The sequence below is a fragment of the Homo sapiens genome, chromosome 3 (assembly GCF_000001405.40).
Source record: "Homo sapiens chromosome 3, GRCh38.p14 Primary Assembly".
NCBI classification, from domain to species: Eukaryota; Metazoa; Chordata; class Mammalia; order Primates; family Hominidae; genus Homo; species Homo sapiens.
The window spans coordinates 167078080-167098434 of NC_000003.12; the positions used below are offsets into that span (position 1 = coordinate 167078080).

The 20355-nt window shown below is 34.9% G+C and overlaps 1 long non-coding RNA gene across 1 annotated transcript in view; it reads right to left on the reverse strand.

The window, feature by feature from the left end:
• The window catches only part of LOC105374196 (uncharacterized), a 37858-nt gene that overhangs the window by 9177 nt on the left and 8326 nt on the right, over window positions 1-20355 (reverse strand). The gene's annotated exons all lie outside the window — the stretch shown is intronic.

Consider the following 20355-nt stretch of genomic DNA (forward strand, 5'->3'; position numbering starts at 1 on the left):
ATTTTCTTTTTGAAAATGAAAGTACACTCCATAGTGTGGGAGTGGGCCCGAGCACAGGGGCTCAAGAGTCCTGGTTACAGAATTTTCTGGGGTTTCAATACTCTCTCGAGGTTTCTCATTGGTTACTTGCTGTATGCCCTATGTAAATGAAGAGAATGAAGTCAAGTTACAAAGTCATTTACTCAGTACGTGCCCTATGTAAATGGAGAGGATGTTGCTTGGTGCCTGTGGCCTACGTAAATGGAGAAGATGTAACATGGTGCATGTTGCCTTTGTAAATGGAGAGGATGAAGTGAAGTTGCAAAGCCATTCACATTTATGTCATTGCTGAAGTGTTTCCATTTGATCTCGTTCTAGTAAGTCAGCATGAATCAGACTCGTGCTGCCTGCCTCCAGACCCTATTCTCCTGCATCACATCCACTTCCTGAGTTTAGTGCATTATGTGCTGCTGATGCAGTCACAAAAGCCTGACTACTTTAAGGGCTCCTGTTTGAAATTTTAGAGATTGTCAACCTCTTCAAAATTGTCGTTTGTGTGTGTTAGTGTTAGCAGCCACATTTGACTAGGAAAAAAATCTCAGTACTCTGTAAAGACAGGTCTCTGTAATAACATCTGGTTTCTCTGGTTTGGTAAAAAAAGAAGCTTCATGCTTCATTATTTCTCGATTTCATGCTTTGGTACCAAAGACTGCCAACATTTCTGATCAAATTTATACACTGCTCAGAAAGGATCCAACTTTATCGAAAGCAGGGCTTCCACAAATCACTTTTTCAAGTTTGGTCTAGAAAAGAAATCATAATATGATGATCTTCCCTACCATACAAAAGTATATCATTAAACTATTATCAGAAATAGCATTGCAATGGGAGAAAAGGGGAACCCACTTTCAAAGCAATTTGAAACAGAGGGATTGATTTATGGCTTCATTTTCTTAGTAGATATTTAATAAGATCTTATATAATTCAAAAGTGAAATTATTGAATCAAATTTCTGAAATCATTTGAGACATTGAGAAATCATAAGATTATTGGCTATATTGCTCTAATGTATTAAATATTGGAGGCAAACAGTTATGTGAAATTCCCAAAGCTCAAAAAAAATTTTTTCTGATAGGTTGATGTGTAGGGTGACAAAGCAGTGTCCATTTCTCCCCAAGTGGAAATACATAGAACTTATAAATGCTGAAGAAATGTTACTTCTGTTCAAACAAAATTAAAATTGAAATATGGATTTACAATCATTTTCTTCTTGATCTAGAAAGTCCCAAGACTTTCTAAACATAATGTCATTGGCTTACAGCCAAAGAGAATTGTTTAACATAAATTCATGGCTGAGAATTAAAATCCAATGTTCGTTAGCACAAGTCTCTTCGTCTAGCAAAGTGGGCCATGTGAAATTTGGGGGACATTTTTTCCCTATGTATGTAAGGGTTTACAACCGTGCTTGTTATAATCAAAATGCCAGGTTAAAATTTATGTGATTTCAAAAATGCTAGATAAAAGATTGGTCAAGAATTTTGATTCTCTGTGTCACTTTCTCCCATGCCAGGTGTCTCAATCTTCCCTGATACCTCTAAGGAATGTGAGTTCTCTAATCTTACCTAGGAATTAGTTTCCAGTCAATCACAGGTATTGCAAATCTTGATTTATTTATACTGGAACGACAAAGTAGTCAGTGGAAGAAGAAACAGGCCTAGAGTAACCCAGAAGTTACTCAACTACACAAACTTGGATATACATACTTATACAATTTTTTAAAACTCTGCCTTCTCTTTTAATTTAGACAAGCCACATCAGGACACCTGTTTTTTAATCATTTCTCTTTTTATTTGCTACTCCCTTAGGGTCATATTTCTTTCCTACCATGCAACTCCCTCCATTTTGTCTCACCATGGTCTAAAAGTTCGTATCAAATTACACTCATAGGTCTATATCTTTGTTACCACATGATTAAAGAAATGAAGAATAATTTGCTGTCTTCTTCATTTAATGCCTGTGTGATCCTTAATAATGGTAACCATAAAGCTACTTGACTTTCTTCCCTGAAGCTCTTGATCTTCAGTGTAAACAGTGATTCTATTTATTTGTAATATATATTCAAATTAAAACGTTATTAACATTTTAAAAATAAATGAAAGTATGCTTTAAGTAATTTATTGTCATTTTATCTGATAGACAATTTGTATTAAATCAAACTGCCCATTTTTTTCACTTAAATATTTTATTCTGTTTTGTGCAAACTATAAGTCTAGTTTTTAAAATAATTCACATTGTATGAATATTATTATATTACATGAACATATTCATGCTGTCTTAGTCCAGTCAGGGCATAAAATTGGTCGCAACAGATGCCATACAATTGGTTGCTTATAGACAGCAGAAATTTATTTCTCACTGTTCTGGAGGGTGGGAAGTACAAAATCAAGGCAGATTTGGTACCTTGTGAGGGCCTGTTCTCTGGCTGATACAGGGCACCTTCCGGCTGTGTCCTCACAAGAGGCAAACTGGCTCTCTGGGATCTCTTTTATAAGGGCACTAATCCTAATCATGAGGGTTTTGTCCTTAGGACAAAATCAACTCCCAAAGGCCTTGCCACTTAATTTCATCACACTGAAGGCTAGGATTTCAATATATGAATTTTGGAGGGACACATTCAGACCATAGCACATGCCAGTATTCAATGTTGTTAAATTATGCTCCTGACCATTTTACTGACCCCAAATTCCATATTCTCTTCATGCTAAATAACAATATCTTTATTATTGTCATTTACTTTTGAGTAGAATTAAAGTTTAGGTTTTGGCTTGTTTTCACAGTTTGAATTTAATCTTATTCAAAGAATTCCCATTGTACTTTCCTTGAAAAGTGAGAGAAATCTAATTCTTTGTATTTCTTTTATACCCTACCTGTACAAGGGAAAATATATTTTAGTTTTATTTGTTAGGAGAATTGTTTAAGTCAAATCTTTTTATTTTACTATTTACCATGACAGATACGTCACTGTTTTTTAAAATTTACAATTTTAATTGGATGTATTTTCTTATTTCTCTTAGAAAAAGTTAACCTCCTACATTTATGTATACTTTTTAAAGTAATTTCACTTGCATTATTTCATTTGATATTGACAGTGAACCGGCAATAGAGTGGACCAGCCCTTCACTTGATCAACACTTCCTTCTGCATCCCCCAACTCTCCAACTTAAAATTGATGTCACAAAATCAAGGATACTAAAAAGTTTGTCTTATGGGTATGCAGCTTCTAAAAGAGGAGATAAAACTAATGTTTATCCTCTTGAGATAGAGTATGCCCTCCCTCATGCCCCTTTGTTATTCTGTGGGAAAAGAGAAGGAACAGGGTTCTTTTATTCATTAATTGACTCAGCATATCAAATACTTCCCCAGAGTGAATAAATTAATTACTCTTGATATCTATTAAAAATCTACCAATACTACAAATTAAGGAACTAGAAGGGCCATAAGATGTATTTTTAAAGTTTTAAAATTCTAATATATTTCATACATAAAATAAAGTCAAAATCCTAACTTTTCCTCTTCTCTGGAAGATAAAAACTATTTTGCATTTAAATTATCAAAATTAGGTCAAATCTTTATTTCCCCAGCCTACATATGTGATTTAGTTAGGACAATGTTTCAGCAAGAAACATCTCATCCTCTAGATACTTTATTTGATTGAAAATATTTGATTGATTCTTAAACTACACAAAACTATTGAAGACCAAGTCCAGAAGATCATTCTAAGAAGATTTTTTGAAATCTCTGCTATCAGGCTGCATTTACATTTTGATTCTTTGGTATTTAATAATATTTTGCATTAATATGTAGCTAATTCATGGAGGTTATTTTTGTTTGTTAGAGAATGGGAGGTTTGTTCTATTGACTGGCTGAGTTGTTTTGGAAGTGGAATGAACAGAAGACTTTTATCCTATCATTTTCACTTACTATAAGACAGGCTGCAGAGGTCAAGAAACTTTTTCTGTAAAGTCAGTAGTAGGCTTTGAGAATGGAAAGGGAAAATCAACAATATTATATAAGCACTTATACAATCATTTAAATGTAACCATGTATTTACACATGTTAACACCATTCTTAGCTTTCAGATACAAACAGTAAACTGAACTTGGCCCACAGTCACAGTTGGCTGGCCCCTGCCTTAGTCAACTGAGTAAATCTCTCTGACCCCAGTTTTCTAATATGTAAAATAGAATGATGAATAAGGACCCTCTGAAAGGAAGGTGGGAATTTGAAAGGAGCAGGAGATTAAATACTGCTTCGACAGATTAATAGCTAACCTATTCTCAATAAAGACTCCTAAATTCTCCCAAATTCTCCTTGTTACTAAATCCAGGGCTTGCTTCCACTTCTAGTCTGATCGCTAGGCAGGTTTGTTTTTTTGGTTTGTTTTTGTCATTGTTGTTTTGTTTTGTTTTTTTGTTTGTTTTTAGACAGGGGTCTTACTGTGTCATCCAGGCGAGAGTGCAGTTTCACATAGTTCACGTCAGCCTCAAACTTCACATGATCATCCTACTTCAGCCTCCCAAGTAGCTGAGACTACAGACACATGCCAACCTGCCTGGCTAACTTTTTTAGTTTATTTTTTGTTGACATGAGGTCTCACTGTGTTGCTCAGGCTGGTCTCAAACTTCTAGCCTCAAGCTCTAGGCAGCTTCTCAGTCCACTGATTAACCTTTTTATCCTTTAAGAGCATTCCTTTTGTGGAGTCTAAGTCATTTTCTTCTATATCCATAGAAACCCATTTACACACCCCACCATAGGCCCCTCTTCTGCTACCCAGCCATTACATAGTGGTGTTTCTCCATGTTACTTTCATCCCAGAGCCTCTCTACAGTCCCTCCTTCCTTAACAATCTTAACTACTTCTCACAGCAACAGTCATCATCTTTATGTCTACTGGTGACTTCTAAGTTTTGTTCCTCTGTCCCGGTGCTCCCAGGCACCGGACCACCAAGACGTCACAACAGGCTATCAAGTTTTGCTTAGGACTGAAATTGTTTCTATTTCTGCCTCCCAAATTACTTCCCACTACTTTCTCAAGTTGAAAACTTTTCTCCTTTATTCAATCACCCCTTAACCATTTGGCTTCTTTACTCCTGATATCTAGTTAATCGCTGTATTAGTCAGTTTTAATGCTGCTAATAAAGACATACCCAAGGTAATTTATAAAGGAAAGAGGTTTAATTGACTTACAGTTCCACATGGCTGGGGAGGCCTCACAATCACGGCTGACGGTGAATGAGGAGCAAAGTTACATCTTACACAGCGGCAGGCAAGAGAGTGTGTGCTGGGGAACTCCCATTTATAAAACCTTCGGATCTCGTGAGACTTAATCACTACCATGAGAACAGTATGAGGGAAACTACCCCCATGATTCAATTATCTCCACCTGGCCCCATCCTTGGCATGTGGGGGTTATTACAATTCAAGGTGAGATTTGGATGGAGACACAGCCAAACCATATCAATCACCAAATCTGGGGATTCTTCTTCCTGATTATTACTCCATCTCAAGGTTCTTGGATCAGGACATATCTTCATTGGAGCTGCAGCTTGAATTTTAATTAATACAGTTAGATTTACAGTCTTTTTTAAATTTCCTATAAAGTCAGCTCTGCAGTTGAAAGGCATTAGTGAAATTTTCTTCAGGCTTCTCATATATATTGTAGAAAGAGCATTTTTGCTTATTTTTCTATATTATTTGATATGTCAAGTTTCCTGAAACAGAATCTCTGTATTCATTTTCTTATCACTGAAAAGTATATTTTATTTATTGCACATAAATTATTGCTACCTTTTTCACCCTATAATACCCTTTTATTCTCTTTAACTATGTACTTATTTACTTATTCAAGGAGGCTCAATCTGAGTAGTCTCCATCAACTGACTTAGTCCTTAGGAAAATTCACAATTTTTGCCACTGCAACCTTTGGAAATTAAGCTTATCCAGCCTGTATGACACAGGCACAGGAACTCCAAACAAGTATCCATGCAAAGTTCTTCCAAAAATCTCTAGTCCTGCGCTGACAATAACAAGAAGCAGGTCTGAATTGGAGTTTTAGAAGAAAAGCATTTTCTGTTTGAACTCACTTTCACTTGAGGCTGAGTACAGAAAGAGGACCTCATCCCATTTCCCAGAGCACTTGCTACTCCTAAAAATTCTCTTCAAAGACATCTCTTCTGGTATGAACTTCTAGGCTTCTGTAATACAGGCTGAATATGGGCTAATGATGATTCAAGATCCAACTTATTAGCTTTTAGTAAATCTCATGGGGATGCCATGACCTTTGGAACTTTGTGTCTCCCTTTTATAGAGACGCAGTAAAGCATCTTCATATGCCACAGAAGACTTACATCATTTTAGTCAGGAGCATAGTGTTGTAATTGCAGTTTTGTTGAAGTTCGGGTATCTGTAGAAGAGTGTGTGTGCTCACTCAGTAGCCAGACATTTGACTGTAGATACTTGCTATTAACTCAGTTACCTCTCGCTTTAAACTCACCCATCTAGGCTGTGCTTTGTGAGGCTTGGGCTGGAACTTTGCAAACTGTATTTCTCTTTGGACTGCTGGCTTTCTGTCAGGCTCTGACAATGGAGGGTGCTGAAGGAAGACATGAAGCTAATAGCAGCTGTTGATTGCAGGCTTCAGCTTCTTTGCTATTCTCAGAACCAGCCTCACTGCATAATCTCTAACAGCACGATCAGCCAGCAGTACTCCTCCTCAAAGGTCTGAGGTCAAACTCCACTGGAATCTTCCTCTAAGACTAGGTTCTAAGAATTACAGTCTGTTTCCTGGGGGTGACACTTGCTTCCTGCTATTATTACCCTCATGTTCTCTTTTCACCCTTTCAGCTCTCCATACCTATGCTTCTATAGTTCCTTCTATAAAAGTTCTTTGTTGAAATGCCCAGTGTGTTTTCTATTTTCCTGTCACAACTTGGCTGATAGAAAGAAAAGGATAGACTTTAGTTTAATTAAGGTTTTAAACAGATTACTAATGGAAAATATCAAAACCATAGTAGATATTTTGGAAGTAAAGCAGGAAGCTCAGAGCAATAATCATCGTTTCAAAAATAAGCTACACTGTTGAGTGTCTGTGATGTCCAGCATTGTAATAAGAACTTTATATTTATTAAATCCTCACAAAACCCTTGCAAAGTACCATCACTATCTCCACTTCATAGGTGAAGAAACTGAGGATCAGAGAGTTAAGTGACTTGCACAAAATCACAAAGCAAGTATGCGGCAGAGTGAATATGAAAACCCTATATTATGTGATTCCAAATTATTCCACTCTGCCTCTCATTAGATGGACAGGCAGAAGGGCTATGAATGTGCTTAGTGAATAATACCACATAGCTAAATAGGATGGAATACTAAAGATAAATGTCAATTTAAAAGGTTTGCTTCAGAATAATAATAAAGGAGGAGGGAGGGGACTTTGGAAGGTGAGAGATATGTTTATGATCTTGATGGTGGTGATAGTTTTAAAGGTGTATACATTTCCTCAAACTCACTGAGATGTAGACATTAAATATGCACAGCTTTTTATATGTTAATTACACTTAAATAGTTTAAATAAATGATTTTGCTTCTATGACAGTATGTATATATAACACGTTTGGAAAAAGCAAAAAAATATACCAGTGGAGACTGTGAGAATAGAATTCTGAAAATGCAAGGAAAACACTTGAGATCAAAGGGACATATCCTATTTTGGACACCTATTTGAGTCAATTTGAACAAGTAATTTTGATTTTAATATTGGCTACCTCTAGCAAATTCACTTTAAGTCATATATTCATGTTACATTAGAAATAATTAATTTAATTTTTAGGGGATTTCTCCAACAATTTAGAGCTCCAGCTATTTGGTCGAAAGAGCTGAATTAATCAAGGGAGGAATGTAATTCCTAATCTGAGATCTAGGACTTGAAACTTGGATGCAGAATTTGGGCATCAGTTGTGGTGACAAGAGCAGGAGAGCCAAACAGGACAATGGTTATCAAGAATAATGGCTGTGGAAAAGCCATTGTAGGGCCATTGGAAGTGAAAAGAATCAGAGCATTTTCCAGAATTGTCACTGCATTGGATGGCAGCATGTTTGACATTTAAGGATTTGGTTATTCCAATGTCTACTGTGCTTCACAAGATGTGATATAATAGGAGTTATTTTAGAGTCTAGATAAAGCCTGTTATACTGTCACACATCCTGTACTCTGGCTGTATTTGACCTTGCCCCTAAGTATCTGATGCATCATGGGCTCACTTTAAGCACTCTCTAAATAGGATGCTATTACCAAATCCTCCATCTGAAAAACATTTACTCATTCTAAATGCCAATTCAAATTTTATCTGTTTGATGAAACAGTTTTAGGAACTATCAAATAAGTTAATGACTCACTTCTGTGATTCCCTAGCACGTTATCTAAGTCTCTCTTATTCTGCTTACTTCTGTGTGCATACTCAATTATTCCTATATCTTCTTCCAACATCTCAGCTGTGGACAGAAAATTTGTCTTTTTCACTTTCTAAAACCATTTAAAATGGTGGCTTAAAATAGGTGCAATATAAGGCAGGTGCAGTGGCTCACACCTGTAATACTAGCACTTCGGGAGACTGAGGCAGGAGGATCCTTTGAGCTCAGGAGTTCAAGACAAGCCTCAGCAACATAGAGAGACCCCTGTCTTTAAGAAAAAAAATAAAAATTAGGGGGTGTGGTGGCATGTGCCTATGGTCCCAGCTATTCAGAAGGCTGAGGTGGGAGGATTGCTTGAGCTGGTGTGGGGGGAGGCTGCAGTGAGCTGTGATCATGCCACTGCACTCCAGCCTGGGTGACAGAACCAGACCCTGTCTCCAAAATTAAATAAAATAAAAGCCCAAAATAAGATAGAACATTTCCTTCACCAATAGTTATTGAGCAAATTAATAAAATAAATTAACGTTAATTAAATACACAAATATAAGTTGATTATTTGGTTAGGAAGAACGAACCATTCTACTGTCAAGTAAACATAAGGTTAAATACAAAGGAGTATGAATAATCACCAAAACCAGAAACAATTACTCTAAATGTCATAATTTTATAATTTTAAAATATATCAAAGTAGTGCTATACATTAATGATTTCTGGTAAATTAAGCAACTTAGATATTCAGCCATGCTGTTTAATTACCTGTGTTCTTAAGTGTTACCAATTATCTTTCCTTTTTATATAGAAAAAAATATGGCTGTAAATCAGTAATGCATTACTCTGGACACGAAAAGTGAGTAATTAGTGAAGAAGATAAAAATGTTTCTTTTTGGATGAGCAAAGTGGCATTCTACAGCACCTAGAGTATGGACTGAGAAATAAAACTGAGTAAATCTACTAAGTTAGATTAAACGTCTCTTGAACTAGTGAATTCTATAAATTAATAACAAAAAAATGTAGGCTAATATATACTTGGAGATGGGAGTAGACAGTGTAGGAAACCAAACAATTCTCAACTAAATGTAATTTATATGTATGACTTTTGCAACAACTAAATACCCTTTCTTCCAAGTTTTTAACAATATTATAATTAAGTGATCAAAGAGGAATGCCAGTGTTCTTATTACTCCCAGTAACTAATGTATCAAAACCATGAAGTTTGTTCAGTGATTCTTCCTCAGTTAATTCTTCTTCAATTTTGAATAATTTGGCCCTATTCACATATTTTAGTTAGCATTATTTCCCCTTTTCTTAAAAGCTTAGATTATAAAGTTTATCAAACACGAAGAAAATAGGCTGAATAATTAACTTTTTTTGACATTTACAAATAAAAATAAGTTTTAAACTACCAACCCTTTCTTCCTCTTTATTCTCCTGTATCCTAAATCTTTTGGCTTCTAATTTAGCAGTAAGAAATTTGTGATATTAAAGGTTTTCCTTTCCTAATAATGATGTATGTGTGAAGAGGCAAATATTCTGACAACTAGATATTAAGTTGATGTTTAGCTAGAAACTATGAAGTTCTCAGATGCAAGTAAACTCTTACCTTGCAATCTTGACCAATGATGCATCCATACACGCAGCTTTTGTTGAGCATCTCAAAAGTGTAAGAGCCAGTTCCTGCCAGAAAGGAGCAGCATGATAGTGCAAAAAGAGACAGAGTGGTAAAAAGCACCAAATGTTGGCTGAAGAGAATGAAGTGGTAGAATTGTTTACCCTCTCCTGGGATGTTTGTTTTAGCATCTAAACATGGGAGTATTAGCATCACTTTTACAGGGTGTTTTGTGGGGGTTAAAGATGATAATATTTGTAAAACACTTCATTTGGCAGATATTATAACTTATCATATTAGCCATTTCCTCCTGGGCATTCTACATGTCCCAGCTTTCTGTGGAGTTAGGTGTGGCCCCATGCTTATATTCTGGCCAATGATGTTAAGCAGAAACACTGTGTATGATTTATGGAAAATGTCCTTTCAAGAGGTATACTTACATTTTCCTAACATGTTAAGTGATACACCGTTAACTGTTAATGTAAACATGTTAAGTATAGTTCAAGCAGCCTCTTGGATCATCAGGTTGCTCATGAGGGAGAGTAGAACAACAAAATGGAAGGAATCTAGTTCTCCATAGGCATGAGATTGCCAAACCATCCCAGTATACCCTAATTCTGAATCCCTTATATGTTCAAGAGTAAAAAAAAAACCTTTATTTTTATATTTGCATGCTTTTATATGCTCATTTCTTTGTCCCTAATGTTCAGCATAACCTAATCTGAATTGATGCAACTGACTACTCCTATTATTTCAGGGTGACATTAAAAGAACAGAAATTGAAGGCATGGAGAACAGATAAGAGACTCCTACTCTTGTTGGAAATATCTAACCTAAATGACTAAATCAATAAATAAATAACCTAAATATGCAAATTGTAACAGTGGCAGTGGAATTAGCAGGTATGTAGCAAATGAAAAAATATTGAGAAGTGAGACTAGACCCACATTTCCCTTTAAAGAGGTTAAAATGATGATATGGAGTAAAATATAACAGAGATTTTATCCAGTGTCAGGAAATATATGGTAATATTAATCAGAATAGGGAATTAACATTAACGAAGCTGTTGTGGAAGAAAATAATTAGTTTGATTTTAGACATTTTGAGTTTGGTGCACTGGCACACTATCTTGGGGAAATGTAAAGCAAATATTACAGTCTTATACTTCTGCCTGCTGCGAACATAGGTTCTAGTGGATTTATTATAATTATTCCTTAATTTATTCAAAAGATTTTCTTAAGCATCTACTTTATACCAGATACTGATTGGGGCCTTTGGTATTCAGCAGTGGATAATATAAAGTCCTTGTCTTCATTCTAATAAAGAACACATTTTATCCTCTTCTAGGACATGAAAAAGATAACTTCATTTTACAGATTTCTTCTGTGTTATGATAGCACAGTAATTGAATTGATACCTTAGCATTATCCAGTATCTTAGCCAAAACTTTACTTTTTAACGTAATTTCATTTTATTATATTATACAATAAAAGAGCTAGCTGCTTAACCTTGAAATTTTCGAAATGAAAGAGTAATAGAAATAAGGTATAGAACAGAAACTAAAGGAAAACAGTCTTACACATTCCACTGATTCTAAGCAATGATTTTCTGAGTAAAATCTAGAGCAGCACTTTGAAATTGTAGACATTAATAAAGCCCATTTCTTCTCCTTGCCAGCAATTTGGAGAGTATTCCTGTATTATTGCAAGCATAAATTCAGTTACAGAACCATGTAAACAGCTCTATTAATATGTATTACCTTCTTTCTTTGTTTCGTGAGGCTTCAGCAAAGGTCCTTATTTTGGTCATGGGAAAAATACTTAAAAGTATATAATTCTGAGATTACTGAAAAGTCAATGATTATTCTTCAGTAAGATGCACATGTTTATATGGATTTTATTAATCACCTCTAACAGTTTTTACATTCTTTAACTATTTTAGCTATACAGAATTCTTCAAACTGAGAATCACTAATATTCTTTTGCTGCAGTTGTACAACAGAAATATTAAACTATAGTTTAGGACTAGCTTCTGACTAGATAAATGGTTTTGAACCAAATCATAAACTTCAGATGACTGAGCAGCTCTGTTCTAAAATATTTATGTCTGGCATTAAACATTCCATAAAAATACCAACTTTGGTTTCCTGAACTCTTCTAACATTTTAAAGGTTTACATACCAGTTGCTTTGGGGAGCTTTCAGTAAACATTTTTTTGTAATGACCTAAGTTGCTCATTTCATGCACAAACCATAGGTCATCAGGTTCACTTATATTAATATAATACTATCTCACTACTAAGTTGCCTGCCTTGGGTTTGAACAATTAGGAGCAAGTTTAAGATGAATGGACTGTATTCACTGATTTAGATCAGCAAGAAATCTCATCATCTGTGGAAGGACATCATATAAGTTTGCATTACATTATATAATTGTAATTGCAATACCTATCATTTATAGGACAAACAGCTATAGTCACAGACATTACTAAGAACTTCATTCTTAAAAAAATCTAAAAATCTTATTCACTATATAATATTTTATATTACTTATGCAAATAAGGATGTGGAACCTATTTTTACTTAAATATGTTTTTCGGGATACATAATTTAGGTTATAATAATCCTTTATATCTACTTGATATGTCCATTCAGCAGTTAGAGGCTTTAAAGCAAGTGTATAAATTATGCATAAGCAATATCGACTTTTTAAAAAGCTTCAAAATATAGCATCACAAGTTAAAAATCATTAATTTATGTATGTGTTTGCTTAAGATTGATTTGCTTTATAATAATTTACTGAATTTGAGGGGGCATGATTATGATAAAATAGAGTCTGTGTTTTGTGAAGTCTGAATAATAGATCAGGCTTGAGTCATGATGGTAATTAACATACAAGACACTAAATGAAGGGCTGGTAACTTTGGTTCAAGTCTCAGCTTTGCCATTTACTAGCTAAATGACCTTGAGCAATCTTTCAATAATTAGGGGTACTGGTTTTCTTCTTTGAAAATATATTTCTGCCTATATCCAGGAAAAACATGGGATTCACATCTGATAATTTATATCAAAGCACCTTATATTTTACTCAGATGAAAAAAAATAAATGATTAATATTGGTGTTGTGTTGTCACTACTGTTTTGTGGATCGCTGGAGAGTGATTATATACCATATGTTCCAGGAAGGACAGTAAAGCTCGTTACTCATTGCTCTGTAAACTGAATCTCCTCATCCATGACATCTGATCCTACTTATCTTCTGTTCACACATTCCTGGCCTGTCTTTATAGTACTTGTCAGGAAGATGACAAGTAAGTCAACTTCCATGGCTCCTAACAGTGATTCTGCTCCAAAACTTCAGTTCTGAGGTTTGGGGTGGCATACCTGAAGCTGTGTTCTGGAATATATTCTCTAGAAGCCTATCAAGGAAATTAGAAACAGACTTAAAAACTGAGATGGGTTTACAACCCAGCTGTGATTCACCATATCCATTTGTCTTTTGCTATTCTCCTCTTATATTGCTGCTAGAAGTTCCCTTTTATTGCCATCATTTTTTGATATATATCTGTGCTTGTGTTAATCATGAAGGAAAAGTTAAGACGTCCATAAATTCTAAATACATTCCCTTCATTAGTTGTCTCACTACTTCTGCTTAAAAGAAAAATAACTTCAAGAGAATTGTCCAACATTGTTAAAGAACATTTAGTCAACATTATATTTATTAAGAATGTTATATGTACCTCATAAAGATGTACAAACATTAATATTTTGTACCAATAAAACATTTTTAATTGAAAAATGGCTTTGGCCAATTTTTTTTCATCTTTGTTGTTGAGAAAATATCAGAATTTCAGTTCTTATTCAAACTTTCAGATCTTAGATTTCTTCAAGGTATTCCTATCCGGGATTTTTCTGAAGGATGTGTTTATCAACTGATTATTTAAGAAGAAATTAATAACATCTATATAAAAATCAAATCATTTTTAATTTATTTTTATTGTTTTGTATTGTATATCACTTAACTGTCATTTTTTCTACCTTAATTTTTTTCTACTCAGCTCCTCCACTCTCTTCCTGAACCAAGAGCTCTCGTGTGTGTGTGTGTGTGTTTGTGTGTGTGTGTGTATTTGTGTGTGTTTAAACAGCAGACATATATTTCTCAGTTCTGGAGGCTGAGAAACCTAAGATCAAGGTGCTGGCAGATTTAGTTCCCGAGGGCTCTCTTTCTGGCACAGATGGCCACCTTCTCACTATGTCCTCACATGGCAGAGAAAGAAAGAGAGAGAGAGATACAGAGAGAGAGATTGAGAGAGAGAGAAAAAAACACACACACTCTGGTGTCTCTTTTCTAATAAGGGACACTAATCCCATCCCTGGGCCCCACCCTCATAATATCATCTAAACCTAATCACTTCCCAAAGGTTCCACCTCCAACCACCATCACATTGGGGATTAGGGCTTCAAAATATGAGTTTTGGGTGGACACAAATGTTCAGTTCAACAGCTCTTTTAATTCATTCCAGTGCCTACACCTTTATCATTTTCCTTAGGCCTTTAATGCAAGATGGCAGTAACCATTTTAAAAAAATTAATAAAAATGCACAATACATAAAACAGTTTTTCTTTATTAGCACTAAAATAATTTGGGAATGCTGAAGGATAATAAAAGACTGGTTTGTGAATTATTTAAGATATTTCTATTTAAACATATGAACGTATTCTTTTTTTTTTATTATACTTTAAGTTCTAGGGTACATGTGCACATTGTGCAGGTTAGTTACACATGTATACATGTGCCATGCTGGTGCGCTGCACCCACTAACTCGTCATCTAGCATTAGGTATATCTCCCAATGCTATCCCTCCCCCCTCCCCCCACCCCACAACAGTCCCCAGAGTGTGATATTCCCCTTCCTGTGTCCATGTGATCTCACTGGTTAATTCCCACCTATGAGTGAGAATATGCAGTGTTTGATTTTTTGTTCTTGCGATAGTTTACTGACAATGATGATTTCCAATTTCATCCATGTCCCTACAAAGGACATGAACTCATCATTTTTTATGGCTGCATAGTATTCCATGGTGTATATGTGCCACATTTTCTTAATCCAGTCTATCATTGTTGGACATTTGGGTTGGTTCCAAGTCTTTGCTATTGTGAATAATGCCGCAATAAACATAATTTTAAGCACATTTATGTTCCTTACGTATTTGTTTCAAGGAAAATCCAAAAATATTCATTCAATATTTTTATAACATAGCTTTGGAACATTTAATATTTTTATGGGGCTGTACTGCTTAGGGACTAAAAGGGATATAGCAAAACTGCAAATTATGACCCTTGCCATTTGAAATGTGCAATATAAATGGAGATAATACACAAGCAGACACATTCACTCACATAAGCTGCAGGAACTATGACTTTTTGTCACTACTTCCTAACTTGATGCCCAACAAATAGTAAATACTCAGTAATGATTTTGAATTGAGTAAATACATAAAAGTCACAAAAGAGTGGGGTTAACTGTGTGGGCTCTAAAAAGAAAGAAAAAGGAAAATGTTAACTATATCAATTAAAGCCACAAAATGCTACATGGAGAAGGTGAAACACTCAATTTTAAAGGCAGATAGTTTTTGTCTAGGTGCAAAAAGGCAAAATGCATTTCAAGCGAAAAGTGCTTCAGAATCCTGGGCGATGGCAAAGTGTTTCTATCCCGATTATATCAGTCAATGAAGTTTTACCCCACCCCAAATAATTATTTAAAGGTGAGGAGCCATTGGAATATTTTATGAAAAACAATTATATATTGTAAAGACCAAGAATAGTGACTGATTTAAAAGATTGTTGGCAATGCTTATCTTATCATGAGACTAACAGCCTTGTTGTTTTGGACTTTATTGTTTTCATGGAGAAGGAAGGAAAGAAGGAAGAGAGGAAGAAAAAGTTATTCTTAAAGTTTATGAAATCTTGTTTCTAGTGATTTTAGTCACAAGTGTGGTATCTGAATGGAAAAATAAATTATATTTAGAGATGTTTTAGAACTGTCAAAAAAAGATATAAGCTACATTGTGAAGCAGATGTTATAATTCTGTATTTTGTGATGGTGATGAAATCACTATTCTCCCTTCAAAATGGAACATTTCAAAAAATGTTTATTGGGGGAATTTCTGTGAGGCACTATCTTGTATAGAAATCAAAATAGTTAAGTCAAAGTTTCTGTGCCTACACTCCCTCTACTGACCAGCTGACCCACATGCTTTTTTTTTTTTAAAATAAATGTTGTGCTTATATCTAAGATACAGAATTGTTTCCTCAAGTTTTTCTAAAATGACCCATATGACATTTTGGTACAATACAAATGATATAACCCCATAGAAAGCCAGTCAGAGCCACAAAGGAGAGTCACGTTTTCTGTTACATACTCTTTTTTTGAAGTAGGAAGCGTGATTGGCATCATATGCTATGATCCATATGATACGTATTCCTCCAGAGACATGTTCAACAATAGCTAGAAAGTAAATATCTAAAGAAAACTATGTACAAATATCTTAGTTTGTCCTTTTCTCAATGTAAACATGAAAGTATTGCTGCTTAAAAAGAAGCATTTTTATGTTGTGTAAAGCTGGTACCATCTGAGAGTAAAATATAGTGCCCATAAAAACTCAGTAATTATCCTTATCTCAATTTCCTCCAGCAGTCCTGAAAAATAATATTGCTTGAGATAATCCATGTCACAATCACAGCAGGATATCTAGGTGCTCACTTTTCACTTTCTCTGTCATAGCAGAACATTAATAATATAAGATAAATAATTCTTAAATGTTGATAGGCCTCTAATGTAAGTCAGGTATAGATGAAGCTTACTCTATTCTCATTCACAACAAAAGCACTTTAAATCTCCCATGAGAAAAAATTGCAAATAATTTATGTAGATATTTCATCCTTAAGTAGAGGACATAACTCCCTACTCTAAGTGTGGACTGTGCATAGTGACTTTCACGCAGAAAGGACAGTATTGAGAAGGAAAAAGATGTAGTAACTTTATAGTAGAGAAACTGGCAAGTTATCTTTGCCAGGTAATTAACGTTTTTATCAACAGTACCCTTGACATGATGGAATCAGAGTGGCACTTTCCCTCTGTGGTCTTTCTGTAAAAAAACATACACTCTAACTATGAGAAAAAAAAATTAGTAAATTCCCAAGTGAGGGACAATCTGCAAAATACCTGACTAATACCCTTCAAAACTCTCAAGGTCATTAAAAACAAAGAACACCTGGCAAACTGTCACAATCAAGATGAGCCTAAGGAGATGTGACTAATGAATCTAATGTGCTAACCAGAATTGTATCCTGAAATAGAAAAAGGACATTTGTGAGAAACTGAGAAAATCTGAATATAGTATAGAGTTCAGTTAAAGATTTTGCATCAGTATTTGTTCATTACTTGTGAAAGATACACCATATTACTAAGATGTTAATAATAGGGTAAGCTGAGTGTGTGGTATATGAGAATTCTTGTACTCTCTTTGCAATAATTTTTGTATGTCTACCTAAGACTGTTGTAAAATTAAAAGTTTATTTTAAAATTAGGTATGGTTTATCTTAAGCCCATACTAATTATGACAAAAGACCTGGAGACAGGCATATGAGGGATGTGTTCTTTGAATATCCAAAGATTAGGTTACTTGGGAATATATTCTGCTTAAGGAATCATCAGTATATTCAAATGAGAATCGCAGGATAAGATTCACAATTTGGGAGTAATAATTAAATCAGAATTAAAGATTAGAGTATAGAATTTGAAATATTGAGAATAGAAAAGAATTCAGGATAAAGGAGATAATAAAGAAGTTCAATGAGCAAAGAAAAGAGAATGAATGACATAGTCTGGGAATTGCACTCATTGGGCCAGCAGAAGAAAGAAGAGAGACTCTGGAGAATTTCAGAAAAGAAGGGAAGAAAGGCATACTAGAATAATATACAGGCACAGAAGTAAAGACAGGAAGAATGCTAATCAGGATCACGAGCTGAGTAATCAAGGAGTTATGTTAAGGATCATGAAAAGCTGGTAACTCGAAAGTCATTGCTATGTTTAAAAGACTGGCAGAGAGGACACTTGATGCAAAGGGCTGAAAAGTGAAGAGAAAATAGGAAAGATTAGGCAGTAATTTAGTGAAGTGGTGTCTTAGTTAGGACCACTATAAAAACAACAACAACAAAAACAAAAACACTATATCCTGGGGTGGGGGAAGAGGGAATTTGGCAGGCTTAAACAACAAACATTTATTTCTTATGATTCTAGAAGCTGGGAAGTCTAAGTTCAAGGTGCCAGTTGACTCTGTGTAAGGTGAAGGCCCTCTTCCTGGTTTACAGATAGGCCCTTTCTTGCTGTATTCTCACATGAAGAAGAAGAGAGATCTATCTCATGTTTCTTTTTCTCTTTATAAAGGCATTAACTCCATCTTGAGGGTCCCACCTCCATAACCTAACCTAACCCTAATTACCCCCCAAAGGCCTCACTTCCAAATCCCATTATGTAGGGTATTAAATCTTCAAAATTTGAATTTTACCGGTACACATTCAGTCCGTAGGACATTGTGAGAGTTTTGTCAATAGTAACTTGAATTTTTCTATGCGCACTATACCACAGACCAGCTGCATCAATGTCACCTGGGAGCCTGATACAAATGTGGAAATTCAGACCCGTCTTATACATATGTAGTCAGGATCTGCATTTTAGCAAGATCCCCTCCTGATCCGAATGCACTTTAAAGTCTGAGAAACATTGGATTATATTATTATTTCAAGAATTTGGCAATATCAAGATGGGGGAAAATAATAGTTTAAGTAAGAAATGCATTTTAAGATTTTTTTTTACTGGAAGAAAGGGCACATGAGTATATATGTAGGTGAGAAGAAGCAGAAACAAGTGAGGAAGCAGAGATATAAAGAAATGAATACTGGTCATAAAATAAGGCTCATGATATTGCTCATCATAACTGTCCGTTTCCATCTTTATTCATCTTATCACGACCTGTGGCTTTACCATTTACAGTAACTGAAAGTGGGGATTCTGAGGGAAAGGGGGGATCCACCAAATCTTTTGACATAGGTCATCCAGGATCTGTCAATTCCCTGTAGCTTTGGTTTCCCTTCCACTCTCCTAAAAATGAGAACACTGAACAAGCATCTGTATAAGGAATTAAGGTTCAATAAAAAAGTTTTCTAACTTTGATGTCACTTAGTTAGCATTAACTAAAGAAGCATAAAAAAGACAGCTATTCTGTTTGAACTCTCCTTATAGAATGTACTTTAAGGACTGACTTTCCCAATTAATTGTAATCTTTTATGAGTCCCCCAAGAGATGCACAGAGCTGTCCTAACCTGCTAATTAGGAGGCCAGCAATGTACTGCTAGGCTTTTTGGAGTACATTCCCTGAGGAAGTGTTAGTACCAAGTGTTTCTCTTGGGATGATCTATAAATAATTTTTAATGAACAAGATATTATTCTTAATGATCTTCTGGAGACTTGACCAGCACTAAGATACTTTAAGAAAAAGCACATTTCCATCAATAGCCATTGATATGCCATTGGCTTGACTTAGAAAAAGGAGCAAGGATCTTTGCATCAACAATTGAGAAACCAAAGTTATCAGCTTAATTCTATGGCTGTGCCCTTTTATTTTCTTTAAGATACAATGTTCTCATCTGTAAAATGGGAAAATGAAACTAACATGAATTAGCAAATTGGAAACTCTGGAATTAGATGTGGCCCACATGGGTATTTGCTATTATTTGCATGTTTATGTCTAGCGTAGTACACAGGCCAGTTTAGTTGGCCATATAAGATTTGCTTTGTAAGCTCTATAGCACTGTTTAAATATAAGGCCTTATTATTAGCACTGTTGCTAATCTGCTCAAAATAAACTAATAAGAGTCAGCTCCAGGAAATTTATTCTAGAAGCAAACTCGTTGTGTGGAATCAGTAATATTGTCCCTATATTTTCAGCAGAGTTTAAAAAGAAACATTTGAGCCAAAGAAAGAGTCAGAAGCTCCCTCTGCAATATAACTTATATACACTGTGATTTTGAGTATTCAAAATTGAATATATAGATACATATACGTATATATGAATAAGGAAATAAGTTTAGATTGTGCTACCCCCCAAAAAATGTTCATCACCAGAATAGTGAAAAAGATAAAATGACCCAAATCTTTAGCATAAGAGAATCAGTTTGGTAAATTAAGTCTCTCCCACAAAATGAATTTTTATGTAGCCCTTGGAGTTATATTTATAAAGAAAA